The sequence below is a fragment of the Homo sapiens genome, chromosome 8, assembly GCF_000001405.40.
Source record: "Homo sapiens chromosome 8, GRCh38.p14 Primary Assembly".
Lineage (NCBI taxonomy): Eukaryota > Metazoa > Chordata > Mammalia > Primates > Hominidae > Homo > Homo sapiens.
In genome coordinates, this window is record NC_000008.11 from 143,492,194 (window position 1) to 143,510,594 (window position 18,401).

At 60.1% G+C, this 18,401-nt stretch overlaps 1 protein-coding gene and 1 non-coding gene across 5 annotated transcripts in view, besides 1 other annotated feature; both read right to left on the reverse strand.

Annotated features, from left to right (window-relative positions):
- The window catches only part of ZC3H3 (zinc finger CCCH-type containing 3), a 103,789-nt gene that overhangs the window by 54,535 nt on the left and 30,853 nt on the right, over positions 1–18,401 (reverse strand). For 3 of the 4 annotated variants that reach the window (NM_015117.3, XM_011516943.3, XM_011516944.3), the window contains exon 4: positions 15,553–15,706. In NM_015117.3, coding sequence (NP_055932.2) covers positions 15,553–15,706 — 154 coding nt within the window. Of the gene's footprint in view, positions 1–15,552; positions 15,707–18,401 lie in introns of those variants that run through there. The other variant, XR_928313.4, reaches the window with a different exon arrangement.
- Positions 9,259–9,759: an enhancer, noted in NCBI's record as "H3K4me1 hESC enhancer chr8:144583622-144584122 (GRCh37/hg19 assembly coordinates)". NCBI's record gives its function as "activates a minimal SCP1, AML or CMV promoter by ChIP-STARR-seq in naive H9 embryonic stem cells {active_cell/tissue: H9 hESC(naive)}" and the evidence as "EXISTENCE:reporter gene assay evidence [ECO:0000049][PMID:30033119]".
- Positions 13,992–14,055, reverse strand: SNORD149 (small nucleolar RNA, C/D box 149). Its single transcript, NR_145785.1, has one exon. It is a non-coding gene; the product is annotated as a small nucleolar RNA, C/D box 149 (small nucleolar RNA).

Below are 18,401 nucleotides of genomic sequence, written 5' to 3' on the forward strand. Positions count from 1 at the left end.
GCGGCAAAGCCTCGGGGGGAGGAGTGTGCTGGCCTTGGAGGCCTCCAGGCGCCCCCTCCTCACCGGCCACCCACTGAAAACACCACAGTCAGGGGATACACACCACGGACTGGCCCAGTGGGGGGGATCCGGTGGCGGCCACCTCCCTCCTCCCACCAGGGCCTCAGCATCAGGCCACTCCCAGGGCCCTGGCCCGCCTTATATCCCCCACCATCTGGACCCTCAGTCCAGGACACACTGGCCCTGAACCTCTGCAGCACTGACCACAGGACCATCCTGAACTGCCTGCCAAGAGCTGCCCACCTGTAGCGTCAGGAACGGAGCCAGCAAACAGACCTGGACCCAGAGCCACTGCCAGCTTGATGCTCAGCTCCCCAGGGACTGATGCCGGAGGGGCCCGGGGAGGGCCTCACCTCGCACCCACACCTGCGTGGGCACCTGACCACACGCACATCCTGCTGATCAGAACAGCAAAGGAAGAAGGCGCCCTGGCCCAGGGGCTCCCTCCTCAGGGTCCCGTGTCCTGGCCCAGGGGCTCCCTCCTCAGGCTCCCGTGTCCTGGCCCAGGGGCTCCCTCCTCAGGGTCCCGTGTCCTGGCCCAGGGGCTCCCTCCTCAGGGTCCCGTGTCCTGGCCCAGGGGCTCCCTCCTCAGGGTCCCGTGTCCTGGCCCAGGGGCTCCCTCCTCAGGCTCCCGTGTCCTGGCCCAGGGGCTCCCTCCTCAGGCTCCCGTGTCCTGGCCCAGGGGCTCCCTCCTCAGGCTCCCGTGTCCTGGCCCAGGGGCTCCCTCCTCAGGCTCCCGTGTCCTGGCCCAGGGGCTCCCTCCTCAGGCTCCCGTGTCCTGGCCCAGGGGCTCCCTCCTCAGGGTCCCGTGTCCTGGCCCAGGGGCTCACTCCTCAGGCTCCCGTGTCCTGGCCCAGGGGCTCCCTCCTCAGGCTCCCGTGTCCTGGCCCAGGGGCTCCCTCCTCAGGGTCCCGTGTCCTGGCCCAGGGGCTCCCTCCTCAGGGTCCCGTGTCCTGGCCCAGGGGCTCCCTCCTCAGGGTCCTGTGTCCTGGCCCAGATCTGCCCTGCCTGCCAGCAAGGGCTGGGGTCTAAGATCTCCAGGAAAAAGTCCCTCTCCCTTTGTCCGGAAAAAGTCCCAGAGGATCAGCGGTGTCCCTCAGGGACATCCCAGCCTCGGTGTGGATGCGGGCTAGCTCAGGCCCTGGCAAGACTGGCTTCTCCTCCCTCTTCCCTACCCCAAACCACCAAGGCCGAGGCTGCAGGAGGGGTCTGGCCCTCGGCCACACCTGGAGAAGGTGGAAGGTATGCAGGCTCGGGGGGATGCCAGCTCAGCCCTGCTGCCATGGGCACTGCCAAGGACTCCACTCACAAAGCCGAAAGGCCTGCCTGCCTCAAACAAACAGAGAAATAAATAAATAACCACAGCACACTTTGAAACAACTTCCAAATTAAGAGTTGCATCCATGCTGTCAAGCCCCTGCTAGCAGCTTCTGTGGCACCTTCCGTGCAAAACCGTATCTCAGCCCATTTATTAGAATGATGAAGGCAAAAGGGATCTAAAAATTGCACTCCTTCCTTAATGAGCAGCCGAAGGGATCGGTAAGCATAATTTCAGAGGCCAGTAATATTTTATATAATCGCCGAGTGGTTTAAATTGAAAACCCCCAACTGAATCAATATTTACTGCATTGAAACGAAATGAATAGTAATAAGTCACTAAGCTCCCTGTCCTGTTTCATAAAATAAAAAATTATAAAAATGAGCACAGGCACAGGGAGGCCATCACATTAACTTTTACAGCACTTGGGGAGCCGTAACCGCCTGTTCCCATAAAATAAAACTCTAAAAAACCTGCCGGAGTCCTGCCTCAGCAGCACGTGGGGAAGCCTGGGGAGTGGGAGGGGAAGGGGAGCGCTGAGGGCCATCCCCACAGGCCTCCCCAGGGCCAGGATGGGCCCCAAGACCCCACAGGCTGACCACGCCTGGTGCCCACCCACACCCCACACAGAGGCCCAGAGCGCCCTGGACCCAGCTTCAACAGAGACTTCCTGCCACCCTCAGGCCGAACTTCCTGCTTTGATTTCTTTACCAGTTTTCTCAAATGACAGAGTATCTCAGAGAGCGTGAGTGAGCAGCTCAGGCTACGGGACCGGTGGCAGCCCGCCAGCCCTCCCTCTGAGCAGGCCCCAGGCTCTGGGTGGGAAAAGCACAAATGCCTGCCAGCGTGGAGGATGGGGCTCCGGCAGATGACCCCCGAGGGGTGAGCACAGGACCTCACCCCACAGTGCAGGAGCCTGTGGCCACCCCTGCCAACAGGCCCACACAAGGCCCGGGCAGGTCAGGGCCTCAGAGCACAGCGGCGCCGGCAGAACCCAGAGCGAGGGCCAGCCGGGAAGGAGGGCCGGCCGGGACAGGAGGGAAGCGGCAGGTCGGGGGAGGGGGGTGCTGTGGGCAGACACACGAGGGGATGGGAGCACAGGAACACAGCCCCCAGAGGGCCAGGAGCCCCCACACTCACCCTGAGACCCTGGGCAGGAACAAAGGCCTCATTCCACCAGGTAAGGCTGGCTCAGCAAGGTGGGGAAGGGGGCCTCCTGCAGTCAAGAATGAGGAGCCAGAATACCGGCCACCAACGGGCAAACGGCCTGAGCAGACCTTTCACACGGGAAGACCACCAGTGGCCTTACGTTAGCCCGAGCAGGTACTCAACATCACTGGACACCAGGGAAACGCAAATGAAAACCACAGTGAGAGGCCACACACGTGAGAATGCAGATTAGAAAGGCGGTAACACCACGTCTGAGGGGAACAGAAAGGGTCGCGGCACGCTGGAAAGCAGTTTGGTGATGTCACATCAAGTCAGCAGATGTCTTACGTCCCAGCGATCCCACGCGCGACAGTCATGGAAACACAGGTGCACAGAAAGAGCTGCACAAGGACTCAGCAGGCTCTACTCACAGTCACCCCAAACTGCAAGTGACTCAAGTAAAATTAATAAAGTGCGGAACAAGAAAGGAAGGCTCCCTGGCAAGGATGGGAAATGCACTGTGAAGCCAGCAATGACACGAGCCTGAATCAGATGCCAAGTGAGTGAGCCAAGCTGGAAGCAATGCGAGAACATCTGACTCCATTGACAGAAGCTCCAGAGCAGGCAGCTAATCCACAGTGAGACTTAGAGGCACAGGATGCTCCAGAGCAGGCAGCTAATCCACAGTGACAGACTCAGAGCCACAGGATGCTCCAGAACAGGCAGCTAATCCACAGTGAGAGACTCAGAGCTGGGGCTGCCTCTGGGGATGGAGGCCTCTACCGGGAAGAGGACAGAGAAGGGCAATGGCAACGTTCTTTATCTCGACGAGGTATGCGTTGCGCAGGTGCATGCGTTTTGGGGTTTCTGTTGTTGTTTTTGAGACAGAGTCTCACTTTTTCACCCAGGCTGGAGTGCAGTGTCAGTCAGGGCTCATTGTAACCTCGACCTCCTGGGCTCAAGCGATCCTCCTGACTCAGCCTCCTGAGTAGCTGGGGTACAGGTGCATGCCACCATGCCTGGCTAATTTTTCTTTTCTTTCTTTTTTTTTTTTTTTTAACTGTAGAGACAGACGTCTCACTATGTTGCCCGAGCTGGTCTTGAACTCGCAGGCTCAGCTATCCTCCTGTCTCAGCCTCCCAACGTGCTGTGATTACAGGTGCAAGCCACTGCGCCTGGTGATTCATTTGTTAGAACTCACAGACTGTTAGATTTATGCCTCCCACTATACGTAAATTCTACCTAGAAAAGAACTATGAACACATGTGGACCTCTAGTTAGTGGCCCTGCTTTGCTCCGTGGTATCTGTTAATACTACTGGAACTTGTGTGCTAGGCCTGAGCAAATGAGCAGACAGACTGAGGGTGATGGGGCAGGTGTCTCGTGGCTGGAGAAGAGTCAGGAACACGGAATGAGGGCAGGCTGAGTAAACCAGCAGAGATGGAGTGGAACTTGTGCTGTCAGGGTGCGGGTGTGCATGGGAGTGGGAGCAGACACTCAACGCCCTTGTTCTGACTCAAGAGGGCAGCAGCGTGTGCCCCCAGGCCAAGACCTTAGCACCACTGACACCTGTGGCTGCATGATTCTTGGCCATGGAGGGCCGAGAGCCACTGCCCCCCAAGGAGCCGGGGTTCTGCAGAGAAACAGCTGACTCCACGGTGAGCCTGGAGCACCTGCCGTGCAGAACGTGATGACGTGCCCAGGAATGAGAGGACACATCAAAGGGACGCAGGCCAGCCTCAAGCGGCTTCCACCAGCCAAGGCTGGGACCACCTGAGAACCAGAATAACAGAGCAGATTACAGCCTATCAAGTGGAGTAAGACTCCTGGGTCCACGCCGTTAAAGCAAATCAACAACGACGCAGGGCAAAGGCGACAGGGAAAGCCACCACTCACAGCATGGAAGGAGGGGTGGGAAAGTTATCCCAACATCTAGAATGAGTGGACAGAAGTCCGGTAAGAAACAGGATGCTCCCTCAGTCCTCACACTTTTCCCCAACAATTGCCCAAAGTAACCTGCTCCGCAGAGAAACTGCCGGATGGCCTAAACCCAGCGGTCAGGCCAACACTGCTGCACCAGGCAGCCTGAGGCCACACCAGTGCTGCCATGGCTTTCCCGCCAAAATTGCGAATCTGCATCTCATCACAAAAAGACATCAGATAAGCCCAGTGGAAGGACAGTGCACAAAATAGCTGGCCTCTCTTGTCCAGACTCCCAGCCCTTCCTGCACTGGAGAACTGTGCATGGTCACAGAGACACCCCAAAGCACCAGGCTCCGGGGGCACCAGGGCTCCGCTTCTGTGCAAAAGCTCGTTTATAAAGGGAGAGAAAGCAATACTGCAAATGCGATAAAATATCATATAAACAACTGGTGAGTTTCAGTAAGGAAGTCCTGGGTGGTATTTTTGCAACTTCTGTAAAAGTATATCAAAACAAAAAGTTATCCCAAAAAATTAAACGCAAGAAGCTAGTTAGGAGAGGAAAGAGGAGAGAGCCCAGGAGCCACACAACTATTCTCCTCCCTCCCAGGGGTTCCCAGAACAGCCAGGACAGGGAGACTCGGCACCCAGGCCTGCCCCAAGGCTTCTGCATCCACCTGTCCATCAAGCAGCACCGCCTTCCCAATCCCCCCCAACCCCGCCACCAGTCACAGCCACCTCATCCCTGCAGCTGGGTGGGCAGCAGCAGGAAGCTGCCCCCGAAGGTGCAGCCATAAAGCCAGGGGGGCAGCCTGGGGTCCACATGGGCCATGAGCCACAGAGCAGTACCACCTCCGACAGGCAACAGCCCAGGACCAGCACCGCCTGCCCCTGTCCCATCCTGGCAGCTGTGGTCTTTTGGTGCTGACTGCACCCACCGGTAGGCCAAGGTCTCAGTGGAGTCCTGGAGTAGGCAGAGCACAGACGCAATGCTGCGGTCAGGAGGGCCCTGGGCAGCCAGGGGCCAGGGCAAGCCTGAACACAGATGTCACACCTGCCGGCCAGCAGCCCCACAGCAGGAGCTGAACCAGGGCCGTCGCTACATGGCTGTCTGGTACGGCCAAGTCCAGGTCCCCTCAGTGGTCTCCGGGTCTCACGTGTGTTATCTGGGCCGCCAGCAGCTCGAGGCCTGGCCAGGTCTCTGCACTCGAACACGCTGTGCCTCCCACAGGGCTTTCTGGGGCTCCCCGGTGCTGTGCCAGCTGCTTCCTTCCCCAAGAGAGTCCCCTCTCTGCCTGGCAGGCACCACAGCACGAAGAGGCCCCAAAAAGCCTGTCCCTAAGTCCCCACGGGGCCATAGCTTCCATGCAGGCAGGGCCAGACAGAGATCAGGCCCTCAACACACACCGGGTGAGCGAATGCAAGTGAAGGAGCCAAGGAGAACGGCAGGAACTGCCTGGGCCACGCACCGGGGCCCGGGGCAGGGGCTGTGTCACGCAGCCTGCTACAGCCACCTGCCTGGGGGACCCTGGAAAGAAGGTCAAGAAGCCAGACCTCAGCCTGAGTGGCAGCAGCCACAAAACCCCATAGACTCAAGGCTCCTACCCAGTTAAAAATCACAACCCAAAGCACCACCCCTCTATGTGAAGCCCTGTCAGGCCGCGTTCTCCCAGAACCTGCAGGGCTGAGCCTTCCTGCCCTTCTGGCTCGGGGGGAATCAGGAGATCCCGGTACTTAGGGTCACTTGCACCCAGACCCCCTGACCTGAGTCCACAGCCTCTGAGTGTGGCCCGCTCACCGGTCATCTTGCCTGGCCAGCCTGCTGTCCTGCCACGGAGGCGAGGAAGGGCCGTGGAGGCTGTGGTGGCTCCAGGATGCCCCCAGAGCTGTGCTAGGACATACAAGTAGGCAGCAGTGCTCCCAACCAGCCTCCTGCCCCATGCAGCCCTGTCCTCCCCGGCTGAAGGGGGTCACCCCGTGTTCTGCCCACTCACCACCTTGGGCCTACTGGCCCCCACACTGCTGTGTGGACCAAGCAGCCCAAGGGGGATGGGAACCGGGGGCAGAGGGGTACAGGGCGGGGCGGAGGGGCACAGGGCGGGGCGGAGGGGTACAGGGCGGGGCGGAGGGGCACAGGGCAGGGCAGGGGGTACAGGGCGGGGCGGAGGGGCACAGGGCGGGGCAGAGGGGCACAGGGCGGGGCAGAGGGGTACAGGGCAGGGCAGGGGGTACAGGGCGGGGCGGAGGGGCACAGGGCGGGGCGGAGGGGCACAGGACGGGGCAGAGGGGCACAGGGCAGTGCAGGGGGTACAGGGCGGGGAAGAGGGGCACAGGGCGGGCAGGGGCAGAGGCAGAGCCATGGCTCAAATGCAAGCCACCAACGTGAGCCTCCCCCAAGAAGGGGCGGAGAGCTGCCGAAACCACGCAAGCCGCATTTCTGGGCCCTTTGCTGGCCAGGACCACTGCCAAGCCCAAGGTTGCAAACACTGAAGGACTCAGCAGAGGCTCCTGGCTGTGAGGGAAGCCTGGGAGCAGAGGGAAGGGCCTGGGAGCAGAGGCTCACTCCTGGCCGTCAGGGAAGCCCAGGACGAAGAGAACCGCATGTCCTGGGTTCTCTGGACAGAGGGATGAGGGGGCCTGGAGGTTGAGGATGCCATGCAGGGCATCAACACCCAGGGCCAGAGCATGGTGGGAGCCGGGAAGGCAGTGGCAAGGGCTCCCAGCCCCTCCCGCCCAGCAGCCAGGCCCCAGGGCTCCCCGCCCCCTCTGTGCTCTGGCCCTGGGTCTTGCCCCTCTGTCCTGAGTGGGCACCTAGACCTGCGCCCAGCCGGTGTTCAGTGCAAACACAGTGGGTGCATCTCTCCTCCCACGAAACCAACACTTGCTTTTAACAAAATCAGTCGAAACTCAGCAACTCCATTAACCAAAACCAGAAGCGACAATGCTATCATTCTTCAGCATTTTCACAGCATTCAGGGCCGCCCTTGAATGCCCTCTCCAGCATTCAGGGCCTCTCCAGGCTCTTTGTGTGAGCTGCTCACAGTAGAGCCAGCACCGGGCAGCAAGGATACAGACAGGATACCTCCACCCTCCACGGAGGCCCTGGGGACCGGGCCAAGCTAGACACGGGCAGACACAGGGCTTCAGCACTCTTGGCAAAGGCCCAAGCTCCCCAGGCTCCATGTCAGAGGGGAGGTAGCAGGGAGGCAGTAAACACCCTGGAAACGTGCCCTGGAGCCACACCGGCCCTCACAGCCCAGGAGGCCCGCAGCAGTGCCGCCTCTCAGCTGGCCTGCTCCTCACCGGGGGCTGGCCCTGCCCTGATAACCCCTGGCCCCCCACCAGAGCAGCGGCCGGGCTGCAAATCCCACCTTCGACACCACCCCCCAGCCCCTATCCTCTCTGCAAACACTCCAAACCCTTCGTGGTATGGCCATGCTGGCCTCTCAACCCCCCACAGGCCCCTGCCCTCAAAGGGGCCTTCTCTGAGCCCCACACAGATCCATCCTGGGTGGGCCTCAGCACATCCGGCAGCAGCCACCCACAGAACTATCTGCTTCTGTTGTCTGCTTGCTTCCTGACCGCTCCCCACAGAAGGACAGCACAGTGGGCAGAGCCTGCCTGCTCAAACTCTGGAGCTGCCTGCTGCCCAGGTATCTGTGGGTGGGGGGAGCCCCACCCATCCAGTGCCGGGCACTCAACAACTGACGCTACACACTGACACCCCTTTGGTGTCTAGGACCTCCCCATGCCAGCCTGTAACAGGGTCCCGGGCCTGGGGCTGGCTGAGCAGAGCATCTGCACACTGCCAGGATGAGGCGGGCAGGGCGTCTCTGGCTCTCACCAGATGCAGAGCAAGCCCTGGAGTCTAAGTCCATTTTCTGCTGCTATAACAGAATACCACAGCCTGCGTCATTTATACAGAAAACAAGTGTCTTTGGCCCACAGTTCTGGAGGCTGAGAGATCCAAGAGCATGGTGCCGGCACCAGGTGAGGGTTTTCTTATGGCAGAAGGCAAGCAGGTGCCTGAGATTGAGAGGCAATCATGCCACACCCTGCCTTTCTGATCAGGGGCCCCTCCCACCACACAGCACTGACCCATCCACAGGGGTGGAAGCCTCACAGCCAATCACCTCTCACAGACCCCACCTCCCCACACCGTCACGTCACAATGTCTATTTTTTTTTTTTTTTGAGACTATCTCACTCTGTTGCCCAGGCTGGAGTGCAGTGGCGCCATCTTCGCTCACTGCAACCTCTGCATCTGGGTTCAAGCGGTTCTCCGGCCTCAGCCTCCCAAGTAACTGAGATTACAAGTGCCTGCTACCATGCCCGACCTTTTTTTTTTTTTTTTTTAAGTAGAGACGGGGTTTCACCATGTTGGCCAGGCTGGTCTTGTACTCCTGACCTCAAGTGATCCGCCTATCTCGGCCTCCCAAAGTTCTGGGATTACAGGGGTGAGCCACTGCACCCGGCCATGTCTGTTAGATGTCAACATAAGTTTTGGAGGAGACATTCAACACCAGGGCACCCAGAGTTGGGCCATGATGGAGTGCTGGGGTTTTTCATTTTTGTTTTTGAGACAGGGTCTTGATCTGTCGCCCAGACTGGAGTACAGTGGCATGATCATGGCTCACTGCGGCCTCAACCTCCTGGGTTCAAGTGATCCTCCTGCCTCCTCAGTCTCCCAAGTAGTTGAACCCACAGGCACAAGCCATCACACCCAGCTAATTTTAGTACTTTTTGTAGACATGGGGTCTCACCATGTTGCCCGAGCTGGTCTTGAACTCCAGAGCTCAAGCGGTCCACCTGCCTCGGCCTCCCAAAGTGCTGGGATTATGAGTGTGAGCCACCACGCCTGGCCACAGGGTGCTGGTTTTACATAAGGATTCATCCCAAGTTCCTCTGATCACGGGTGTGAGCCATCATGCCTGGCCACGGGGCGCTGGTTTTACATAAGGATTCATCCCAAGTTCCTCTGATCACAGGTGTGAGCCATCATGCCTGGCCACGGGGCGCTGGTTTTACATAAAGATTCATCCCACGGTCCTCTGACTACAGGTGTGAGCCATCATGCCCGGCCCCGGGGCGCTGGTGTGACGTTGGGATCCCATGGTCCTCTGACTACAGGTGTGAGCCATCATGCCCGGCCCCGGGGCGCGGGTGTTACGTTAGGATTCATCCCACGGTCCTCTGACTGGCACACCCTTTGAGGCACATCAGAAGATGGCGAGAACCCTGCTGTGGACTGAATGTTTGTGTCCCTCGAAACCCGATGCTGAAGCCCTGACCCCAGCGGGATGGCGTGAGGACGCAGGGCCTTCAGAGGTGATGAGGTGAAATGGTCCTGAGGTGGGGCCCTCATGATGGGACGAGCATCCTCATAAGAGACCCCAGAGTGCACACGCACTCACCACGCTCTCCCTGCCTCTCCCTGGGCCATGTGAAGATGCGTGGGAAGACAGCTGTCTGTAAACCCGGAAGAAGGCCCTTGCCAGACACCAAGTCTGCCCAGCAACCTGGTCTCAAACGTCCGGCCCAGGACTGTGAGAAGTCAGCGTCTGATGCTGAAGCCCCAGTCTGTGCTACTGTGTGACACGGCCCCAGCCGACGAAGACAGTGCCCAAACCAGAAGACGGGCAGGAGGTGGGGCAGGGTGGCTGGCGTCCCAGGAGGCTGTGCAGGCACACCTGCTCATTAAGGAGACACGCGTGGGGAGCGCAGCATCGCAGTGAGGACCCCTCCCGTCCCCAGGCTGAATTCCTCTTTAATGAGACGCCACTTTGGAGAAGCGTTTCAGAGCCCTTCAAAATCCTGGCCTAACTCTCGTCAAAACTGCACAGATTACTTAAGATTTACCGCACAGACACAAACTAAAATAAAATAAAATAAGGCAGCCCAGTGAGAGGCAGCCTCGTGACAGGACCATTTGTAGTCAGATGGAAAAGCCTCCGATTCATCTGCTTAAGCACAGCAGCTTCTGTTTATTTCGCACTTTCATGTCAAATGAATTTGGAAAGAGAAAAAAAGTGACAAGCAGTTAGGGATATAAGTCACATTTCAGCTTCAGTTCAGATTAATGAACTTGCTGGAGCTGGTGAGGGCACCGGCAAATCTACAAATCTCAGAACAACAAAAAAATTAAATCCCCTCAGCAGAGCCTCAGCCTTCAGGGTGACTCCTCCAAAACCCTTCACTGACCTTCTGCCTCGCACCCCTGCATTCCAGGCCCTCTGGGACAGGCTTCACTTCAAGGCAGCAGTCCTGGGGCCCGGGGGAGGGCTGGCCAAGGCCGGCTCTCAGGGACCACTGTGGCATGGCCGAGGTATGCGTAAGGCAGCAGTACAGTAAGCTCCCAGGGTCCCCGAGCCAGAGCAACAGCCCCGTCCTGTGTATTTGGCAGATGCGACGGGCACCACGCTCAGCAGAACAACCCAGTCCCATGCCTCAGCTTCTGGGGAGAGGTGGCACATGGCCAGCACACCGCCAGCATGCCCCCGTCAGCTGTTGCCCCGCCCCAAGCAGCCACATGGCCGGGCATCTGCAGGCCAGGGCAACGCGGCCTCTGATGGGAGCACAGGTGGCACCGTGGATGCCACCCGTTGAGGCAGGAGTCCCGTTCTGCCCTTGGCATACAGGCACTGCTCCTTTTCTCCTCCCACCCTCTGCCCCACCCCAGTCTCCACACATGATGTCTGGCGTGTGCCTCAATGGTGTGCCCATCCTCAGAGACCCTGGCTGGCAGCACACAGAAGCCCCAGAAGCTACTGCCCAGCAGCCTCTGCCTTCCATCTGACAACGACGAGCACTGGCCGGCCACAAACCTGAGGCCACTGGTCAGCACCCAGCCATCTCCCGACCACCTCCCCCAGCACCCAGCCATCCCCCGACCACCTCCTCCAGCACCCAGCCATCTCCCCAACACCTCCCCCAGCACCCAGCCGGCTCCACCACCACCTCCCCCAGCACCCAGCCGGCTCCACCACCACCTCCTCCAGCACCCAACTGTCTCCACCACCACCTCCTCCAGCACCCAACTGTCTCCACCACCACCTCCCCCAGCACCCAGCCGGCTCCACCACCATCCCCTCCAGCACCCAGCCATCCCCCGACCACCTCCTCCAGCACCCAGCCATCTCCCGACCACCTACCTCCTCCAGCACCCAGCTGGCTCCCCACCGCCTCCTCCATGTTCAGGTCCAGAGAAAGCCGCTGACAGGGAGGAGAGGCCCCAGCCCCTATTACAAACCCAGCCATCAACGGGCCCTGACGCTGTCCTCCAGCCTTCCACATGGGCCCAACATGACCACCAGGCCGACAGTAAGTTTCTACTTAAATTAGGAGGGGGAGAGAGAGGGCGCGTGTGCCAAATCACCCCCTGGGACAGGGCAGAGGCCTAGACTCAGGCCGGGCACTCACTTGCCTACCCTCCTTCCCTCGGGCTGCAGGGAAGGGGAGTTTCTAGAGCTTCCCAGAGGAGGGAACAGGCCTAATCACCCTGAGCCCTCCCCAGTGCCCAGGGCAGAGCTAGGGCCAATAGCTCAGGGCCTGGGGCTCTCCAACCGAAAGCTGAGAGGAACTGCAGAGGGGTCCTGGGGGCTCATGGCCAGGAGAGGGGCCCCTTCTCGTGCCTCCTCAGGGCGGTGCAGTCCCCGCCATGAGCATCACAGCCAAGGGGAGGGGACGGGAAAAGAGGGCAGGGGAGGTCCCAGGGACAGGGTCAGAGAGAGGACAAGGTGAGGGCTGTTGTCAGCAGCAGAGCTGTGCAAGCTTCACTGCGGCAGCCTGTGTTACTGTTTCTTGTCCCCACCTTGGGCAGGGCCCAGTCCCATTCCTCTCAGGACGGGTGGTAGAGGTCCTGCCCCCTCCTCCGTCTTTGGGGTTCCAGCTCAGGCCCTGTCCTGAACACCCCACCACAATCAAGCCTAGAGACCCTACCCATTTCGCATGGTACAAGCAGGCAGGGACGGGCTGTCAGGTTCACGCTGCACTGCGCTGCCCCCAACTACACCCTACCCAAGATGCTCAGCCACTCCCAGCACCTGGGACCTTCATGTGCATCCTGGGGCAGGGTCAGCCTGGCCTTCACACACAGACCCCCAGGGCCTTCCCTCAACACTCAGAGCCCCCTGGGCCTCACTGTACTCCCCACTGCCGTCCCTTCGCAGAGCCTCTGCCAGCGGCTCCCTCTCCTCCCAGAGCAGTGCTGTTGGCCTCGTCCATCTCCCAGGAGCTGGCAGCTTCACAGAGAGCAGGCCCGGCTCCATGCTCGGAACTCGCGGGTTTGCTTCAGCAACAGAGCAAGATGCTAAGGCTCTGAGGGCAAGAGGCCTAGATGACTTCCTCTCAGGGTGACCAGATCTCCAATCACAGTGAGGGGTCGGCTGGGGCATCCCACACCGGCGCTGTCCCTCAGCCACTAGTCACCCTGCCTCCCTCCCCTCCCGCGTGTCCACCAGCCCCTGCCAACTCTGACCACCGTGGCTTCCAGGACTGCTGGGGCTTGCCCGCCAGCCCCTCCAGGGATGGGAGAGGGAGCTGGGGCCCAAGGAGAGCTCTGGTCTCAGGCTCCAGCCAGCCAACTGGCAGGACAGCCTGCCTTCTTCCTCTCCATGGCAGCCCTTAGTCCATGGTGGCCTGGGCCTGCCGAGGGAGGGCTGAGGGTCCAGCCACATGCAGGCAGCCCTGGCTCTGATGCAGCACCGGAGATGGCGCATGGGCCAGGCTAGACCAGCCGCTGGCCCAGACGCCCTTTCTGCCTAAACAACCCCGAGCCCAGGCACGCAAACAGGCAACAGCAGGCCAGGCAGCCATGCTGGGACGCAGGTGGCAGGTGACCCTGGGCGAGGCAGGCCCAGCCCACTGGTGGCCATTCTTCCCAGGACTTCCTAAGAGTCGTGCCCCTCAGCTCAGCACCCTCCCCACTCCACTCCCACACCCTATCCACAAGCCCAGGGTTCGTGTCCCGAAGGGTCCCAGACGCCTGGCAAGGAGTGGAACAGGACTGGGGTGAGGCGGTCAGGAAAGCAAGGAGGGCCCCTCACACACCCCCTCAGCCACATGTGCATCCTGGGGCGGACTCAGCCTGGCCTTCACACACGGAGAAGACACTGAGGCCTGGAGCCCATGGCCACCAACCACAGCCAGGGCCTCCAGGGGTGGGCTGAATTCAGGCTTCTGGTGCTGGGGCCCTTGATCCATCAAAGGCGATGCCTGCTCCACCTCCTGCCCACCCATGCCTGTGGTGCAGCCCCTACACCAGGGCACTCAGAGAGTCACGGCCGCTCCCTGCAGGGCAGCTGGCCAGGCTTCACTTTGGAAGGACAGGGAACTTGGAGGGAGCCTATCAGCTGACCCGCTGCTCTCAGCCACATGGCGCCGACAGGAGGCCCTGGGCGCTGGGCCGGCTGCCACCTCCTCCTCCTCCCGGCCTCCTCAGCCCCAGGGCATGGGCACTTGTTTCTGTGCAACAACACCATCAGGGCCCTCCTGGGCAGGCCCAGCTACAGGAACCAGACCAGCCGGACCCAAACCAGACGCCTTCTTGGCCTTCAGAATCCAGAAGGAGAGGCCCTGCTGGGTCCGCCCTGAGGAAAATCATCACTTGGCCCCGAGCCGCACCCCTGGGAGAGGTGGACCCTCGACGTCGGGCTGACGACGACCACAGGACGGGAAGCAGGAGCGGAGAATCCATAAATCTGAACCTCATTCCCGATGATCCGGGGCTCTTATTAAGTAAATTAATTTAAGTTAATTTAGCTCGATCATGACTCCCGATCACAGTGATTTAGTGTGGGGGAAATTGCATTAGGAAAGGCCATGCTCACCAGATAGAAGAACGGAAGAAAATTAGATCCACTTAGCAATGTGAATTAATATGGAAATAGCAGGTGTAAATTTAACCTTATCGAGAGAATAAAAATTATCTTCATAAATTTGCAGAAATAGCCCCCGAGATGCTTATAAATCTATTTAAAACAAAAATATTACAAAAAGTGCAGTAAAATTAATTTAAAATATACTCCAGCTATTGCCTCCAGAAAACTCAGCAGCAGGGCCAAGCTGAGTGTGGCCTGGTGATACGGGAGGCAGCAGGACACCACCTGGTGGGCTCGCCAGCTGGCTGACCTGCCACGAGGCTCCAGAGCTGGGTAGGGCTGTCCATACTGGTGGGTGGATCCCCTGGGGTTAGCCTCAGGCCTGGAAACCTCTGGCTAGCAGCAGGGAACCACCAGGCAGCTACGGTCCGGTGGGTGGCCGTGCCCTGGGCCGTGGCTGCTCGCCCTGAGGCCCTGCCCACCATCTCTGGCCCACGCCACTCCCCCAGGAGCAGATTCCCGCGGGGAGGGTCAGAAGACAGAGGGAGGGGTCTGCCACTGCCTGCTTCCCATCTGCCTGCCAGAGCTATTACCCTCTCCCAACCTGGAGATGGGGCACCACCACCACAGCAAAGGAAGGGGCCAACCTCCTAGAGCCAGGCCTCCTGAGGCCCAGAGGCTGAGCAACCTTGACTGAGCAGGTGGCAAAGCCTCCCGGGATAGCGGCCCCAGGAGGGCAAAAGCTGTTCCCTGCCGACAGAGCCGCCCTCCCAGCCTGCATCGAGGTCAGAGTGCGAGTGGGGGCCAGAACACGGACAGGCAGCCAGCAGCAGGGCAAGGAGTAGCTCACATCACCGCCTTGACAATCATACATTGACAGCTTCCAGACAGACCACTGAAGGCCCAGCCTCTCCCACCAGAAGCTTCTCCCCGAGAGATGCTCAGACAGCACATGGCGTGGGCCCTGACCGTCTGGGCAGCAGAAGCTTTCATGGCACAGAGCCCTCACCAGCTAATAGGCTTGCTGAGAACAGCAGAGCATGTGTGTGCATGTGTGTCCGTCCGTCTTCACGTGTATGTGGTAAACACAAGCTGGCCTCCTATTTGGTGCAGAAATTGCTAAAGACACAGAAAAATCAGGCTGGTCCCCAGCCAACGAGCCCAACACCAAGCAGTTCTGGGATGTGCTCAGCTCCCCCTGGCCCTTGGATTCTACCCTGCAGCCCTCAGGGCAGGGCCAGACAGCCCAGTTCCCAGGCCTGCAGGAGCCTGCAGGAAGCCTTCCTACCTGGATAGTGAGAGCCGCCGGGCCCGCCAGGAGGGCAGAGACAGGGGGAAGGGCGGGGCGCTGAGAGGCGAGGCCGGCGTCTTCTTGACAATGCGGTAGCGGGTCTTGATCACCTTGCTGGTGGGTGCAGTCCGCACGGCATGCAGGCTGGACGCTGTAGAGAAAACCCAGGGCACAGACATGGGTCAGGGAAGGCCGGCAAGGGTAGGGTCAGAGAGGCCACCCACAGTGCCAGCTCTGCCCACCGCCTCCGCCGGAGCTTGAAGACCCTCCATCGCCCCGTGGATAAAACCCTCAACCCATGTGGCACACACATCCCCAGGGCGCCTGGCAGCCGACGCTTCAGGAGCTAGCCAGTGCAGCCTCTGAGAGGCGGGCACCAGCCCCGCACACCCTCCAGCCATCTGGAGAAACAAGGGAATGCCCACACCACAGGAAAACCAGGAGAAGCCAGGGGTCTGGCAGCCGGGGATGCCTTGGAGTCCCCTAGACAGTATCCGCAACAGGGGGACTCGAGGTGGCTGACTGACTTCCAGCAGAGCAGTGAGGAAGGCAGATGGGCCACCTCCACCCAGGCCAGAGGGGCGGGGCTGGGAGGCTCCTGGCCTGTGCCCTGCACAGGGGAGGGGCGCTGGAGCACTCACCTCCTCAAGCGGCACCTCCTCACCGCTGTGCCCAGACAGACTTATGTACTTAGTCACTGTTTTCATAACATTTTGCAGGGTGATAGACACGACGGCTTTTTTCTTGCTGAATGTTTCATGCAATTAACAGGAATCTTTTGCCCGAGTTCCCTTCCACTTGATAGCTGGCAATTTACCCACAGCTTCGAGGGTTGCGTCTAATTGCCCAGCTTGCATCATGTACAGCTCTGACTGCCCAGATCATTAAAGCTAACTCAGCAGTGGGCACAGGCCCGCCTTCCCAACAGCTTCCCTGGCAGCCCAAGGCTCAGGGGCTGCTGCAAGAGGCCCCCGCCCCCCTCCACCCCCTTCAGGGTCGCCCACAGGAGGACCCCACCCAGCCCAGCCCAGGGGACCTCACTTCCTTCCAGTCAGTGCCCAGCTTCCCCTGTGCCCGGGACCCCTGACTGCCCAGGACACACCCTCTTGGCCCCCACAGCCAAACAGCCCTCGAGGCACCCTGCTCCTTGGACAGGACCAGTAACTGTTACCATTTCCCAAATTCTTTTCCAGAGCCCTAAACGCAACGGACCTTGAGCAGCCAGGGCCCCTCCTTGAGGCCGAGCTTCTAGCCCATCTCTCCACAGACTCGCTCACTCTCCTGCCCACACTGCCCTGTCCAGATGTCAGCAAAGAGCCCCTCCCTCAGGCGTTCCCCCAGCACCATCCAAGCTGCAGCCTCTACTCAGGCACCTGTCAGCCTGCACAGGAGCAAGTCAGGAACACTTGGCCCCAACATGACATCAAAGCCTTCCCCAGAGTCCCCCAGAGTCCACATCAGAGAGTCTGCCGATTGTATTTTCAAGGTCTTACAAACAAGGAGAAACCAGCAAAAAAATCAATAATAGCTTGTTTCAACTAAGCGCTGGAGAACGTAAGAAGTCCTTAAGTTATCAATAACCCCGAGGTGACCTCACCACCTTCCAGCCCTGCTGCAGGCTCCTTGCTTCTGCCTGAGGAGAGCATGGGCTGCCCGGCTGCTCCTGCCCCACCTGGGCCAAGCTGGGGGCCAGCCTTGGCACCTGGGCAGTCAGGGCACCCACTGGAGCACTGCCAGCCATGGGGCCGGGCCTCAGGGCTGCCACCAGCCCACCCCCAACCCCAGAGTGCCCAAATGGCCCACTTGCCAGCCTGCAGCCTGCTTCCCACCATGGCTTCCCACAAGCCTCCCAGGCCGCCCAATGCCTGCTGCTCTGGGACGCAGAGCCTGGGGCGATGCTGGCCCCTTGGAGCCACAGCATGACAAAGCTAGGGTACAGTCCTGCTCAGAGGCCAGGTGGGGCCAAGCAAGGCAGGAGGGACACTGGGCCACACTCGGGACACTGGGCCACCCTCGGGCCCCGGGGGTTCATGTTCCCCTCCCCATCAACCTCTTTCCCCAAATTCTAAGTACAGGAGCCCCCAGACCTGGCCCAGCTCCATTCCCGTCGCCAAATGCACAGCCTCCCTTCGGCTAAAATCACTTCTAACCTTGGGAACCAGAGCTCGCCCTCCCTCCCAGGTCCAGCACATGCCAAGTCCTCTAGGAATTCCCAGCCCCGACTGCACACAGGACTGGACTCTGCATTCTAGAACACTTCTGCCCAGGAGGGGCAGCTTGGGGCAGGCAGGGCCTGGCGGGCGGCGGCACCATGATCACACTCCTGCGCAGTGCTGGCAGTGGTCAGGTCAGGCTTCTTTGCCTTACTGCGTGTTACTTCTTAGTGCCCAAGTGTCACTCCTGAAAACCACACGGTAATAACGCAGCGCCAGCCTCTTGTCACAGCCCACTCAGGCTGGGCAGGTATATTCTGCACGTCACCTAGATAGACCCCTCTCCTACAGTCCCTACCAGACTGGGGGCACTTCAAGGGGCTCACAGTGACAAGGTGGCAGCTAGTGTGGGCCCAAGCTGGGCTCCAGCCTGCAACCCACCCCCACAGCAGGGTCGTGTCCCCCACGGCCTGGCCCTGCAGACCATGGGCAGTCCCTGTCATTCCCAGATGGGCAGCTCGGACAAGCTCATGACAACCCAGGATGAGCAGGGCACAGCCGGACAGATGGGTAGTAGCAGATGAATTCTGAGCTGGGCACCCAGCGACTGGCAGGAGCAAGGGCTCCTAAGACCATGCATGGCACACGGACCCAGAAAGTCAGGCTGCAGGAAGGAAGGGTCCCTCCCTGGCC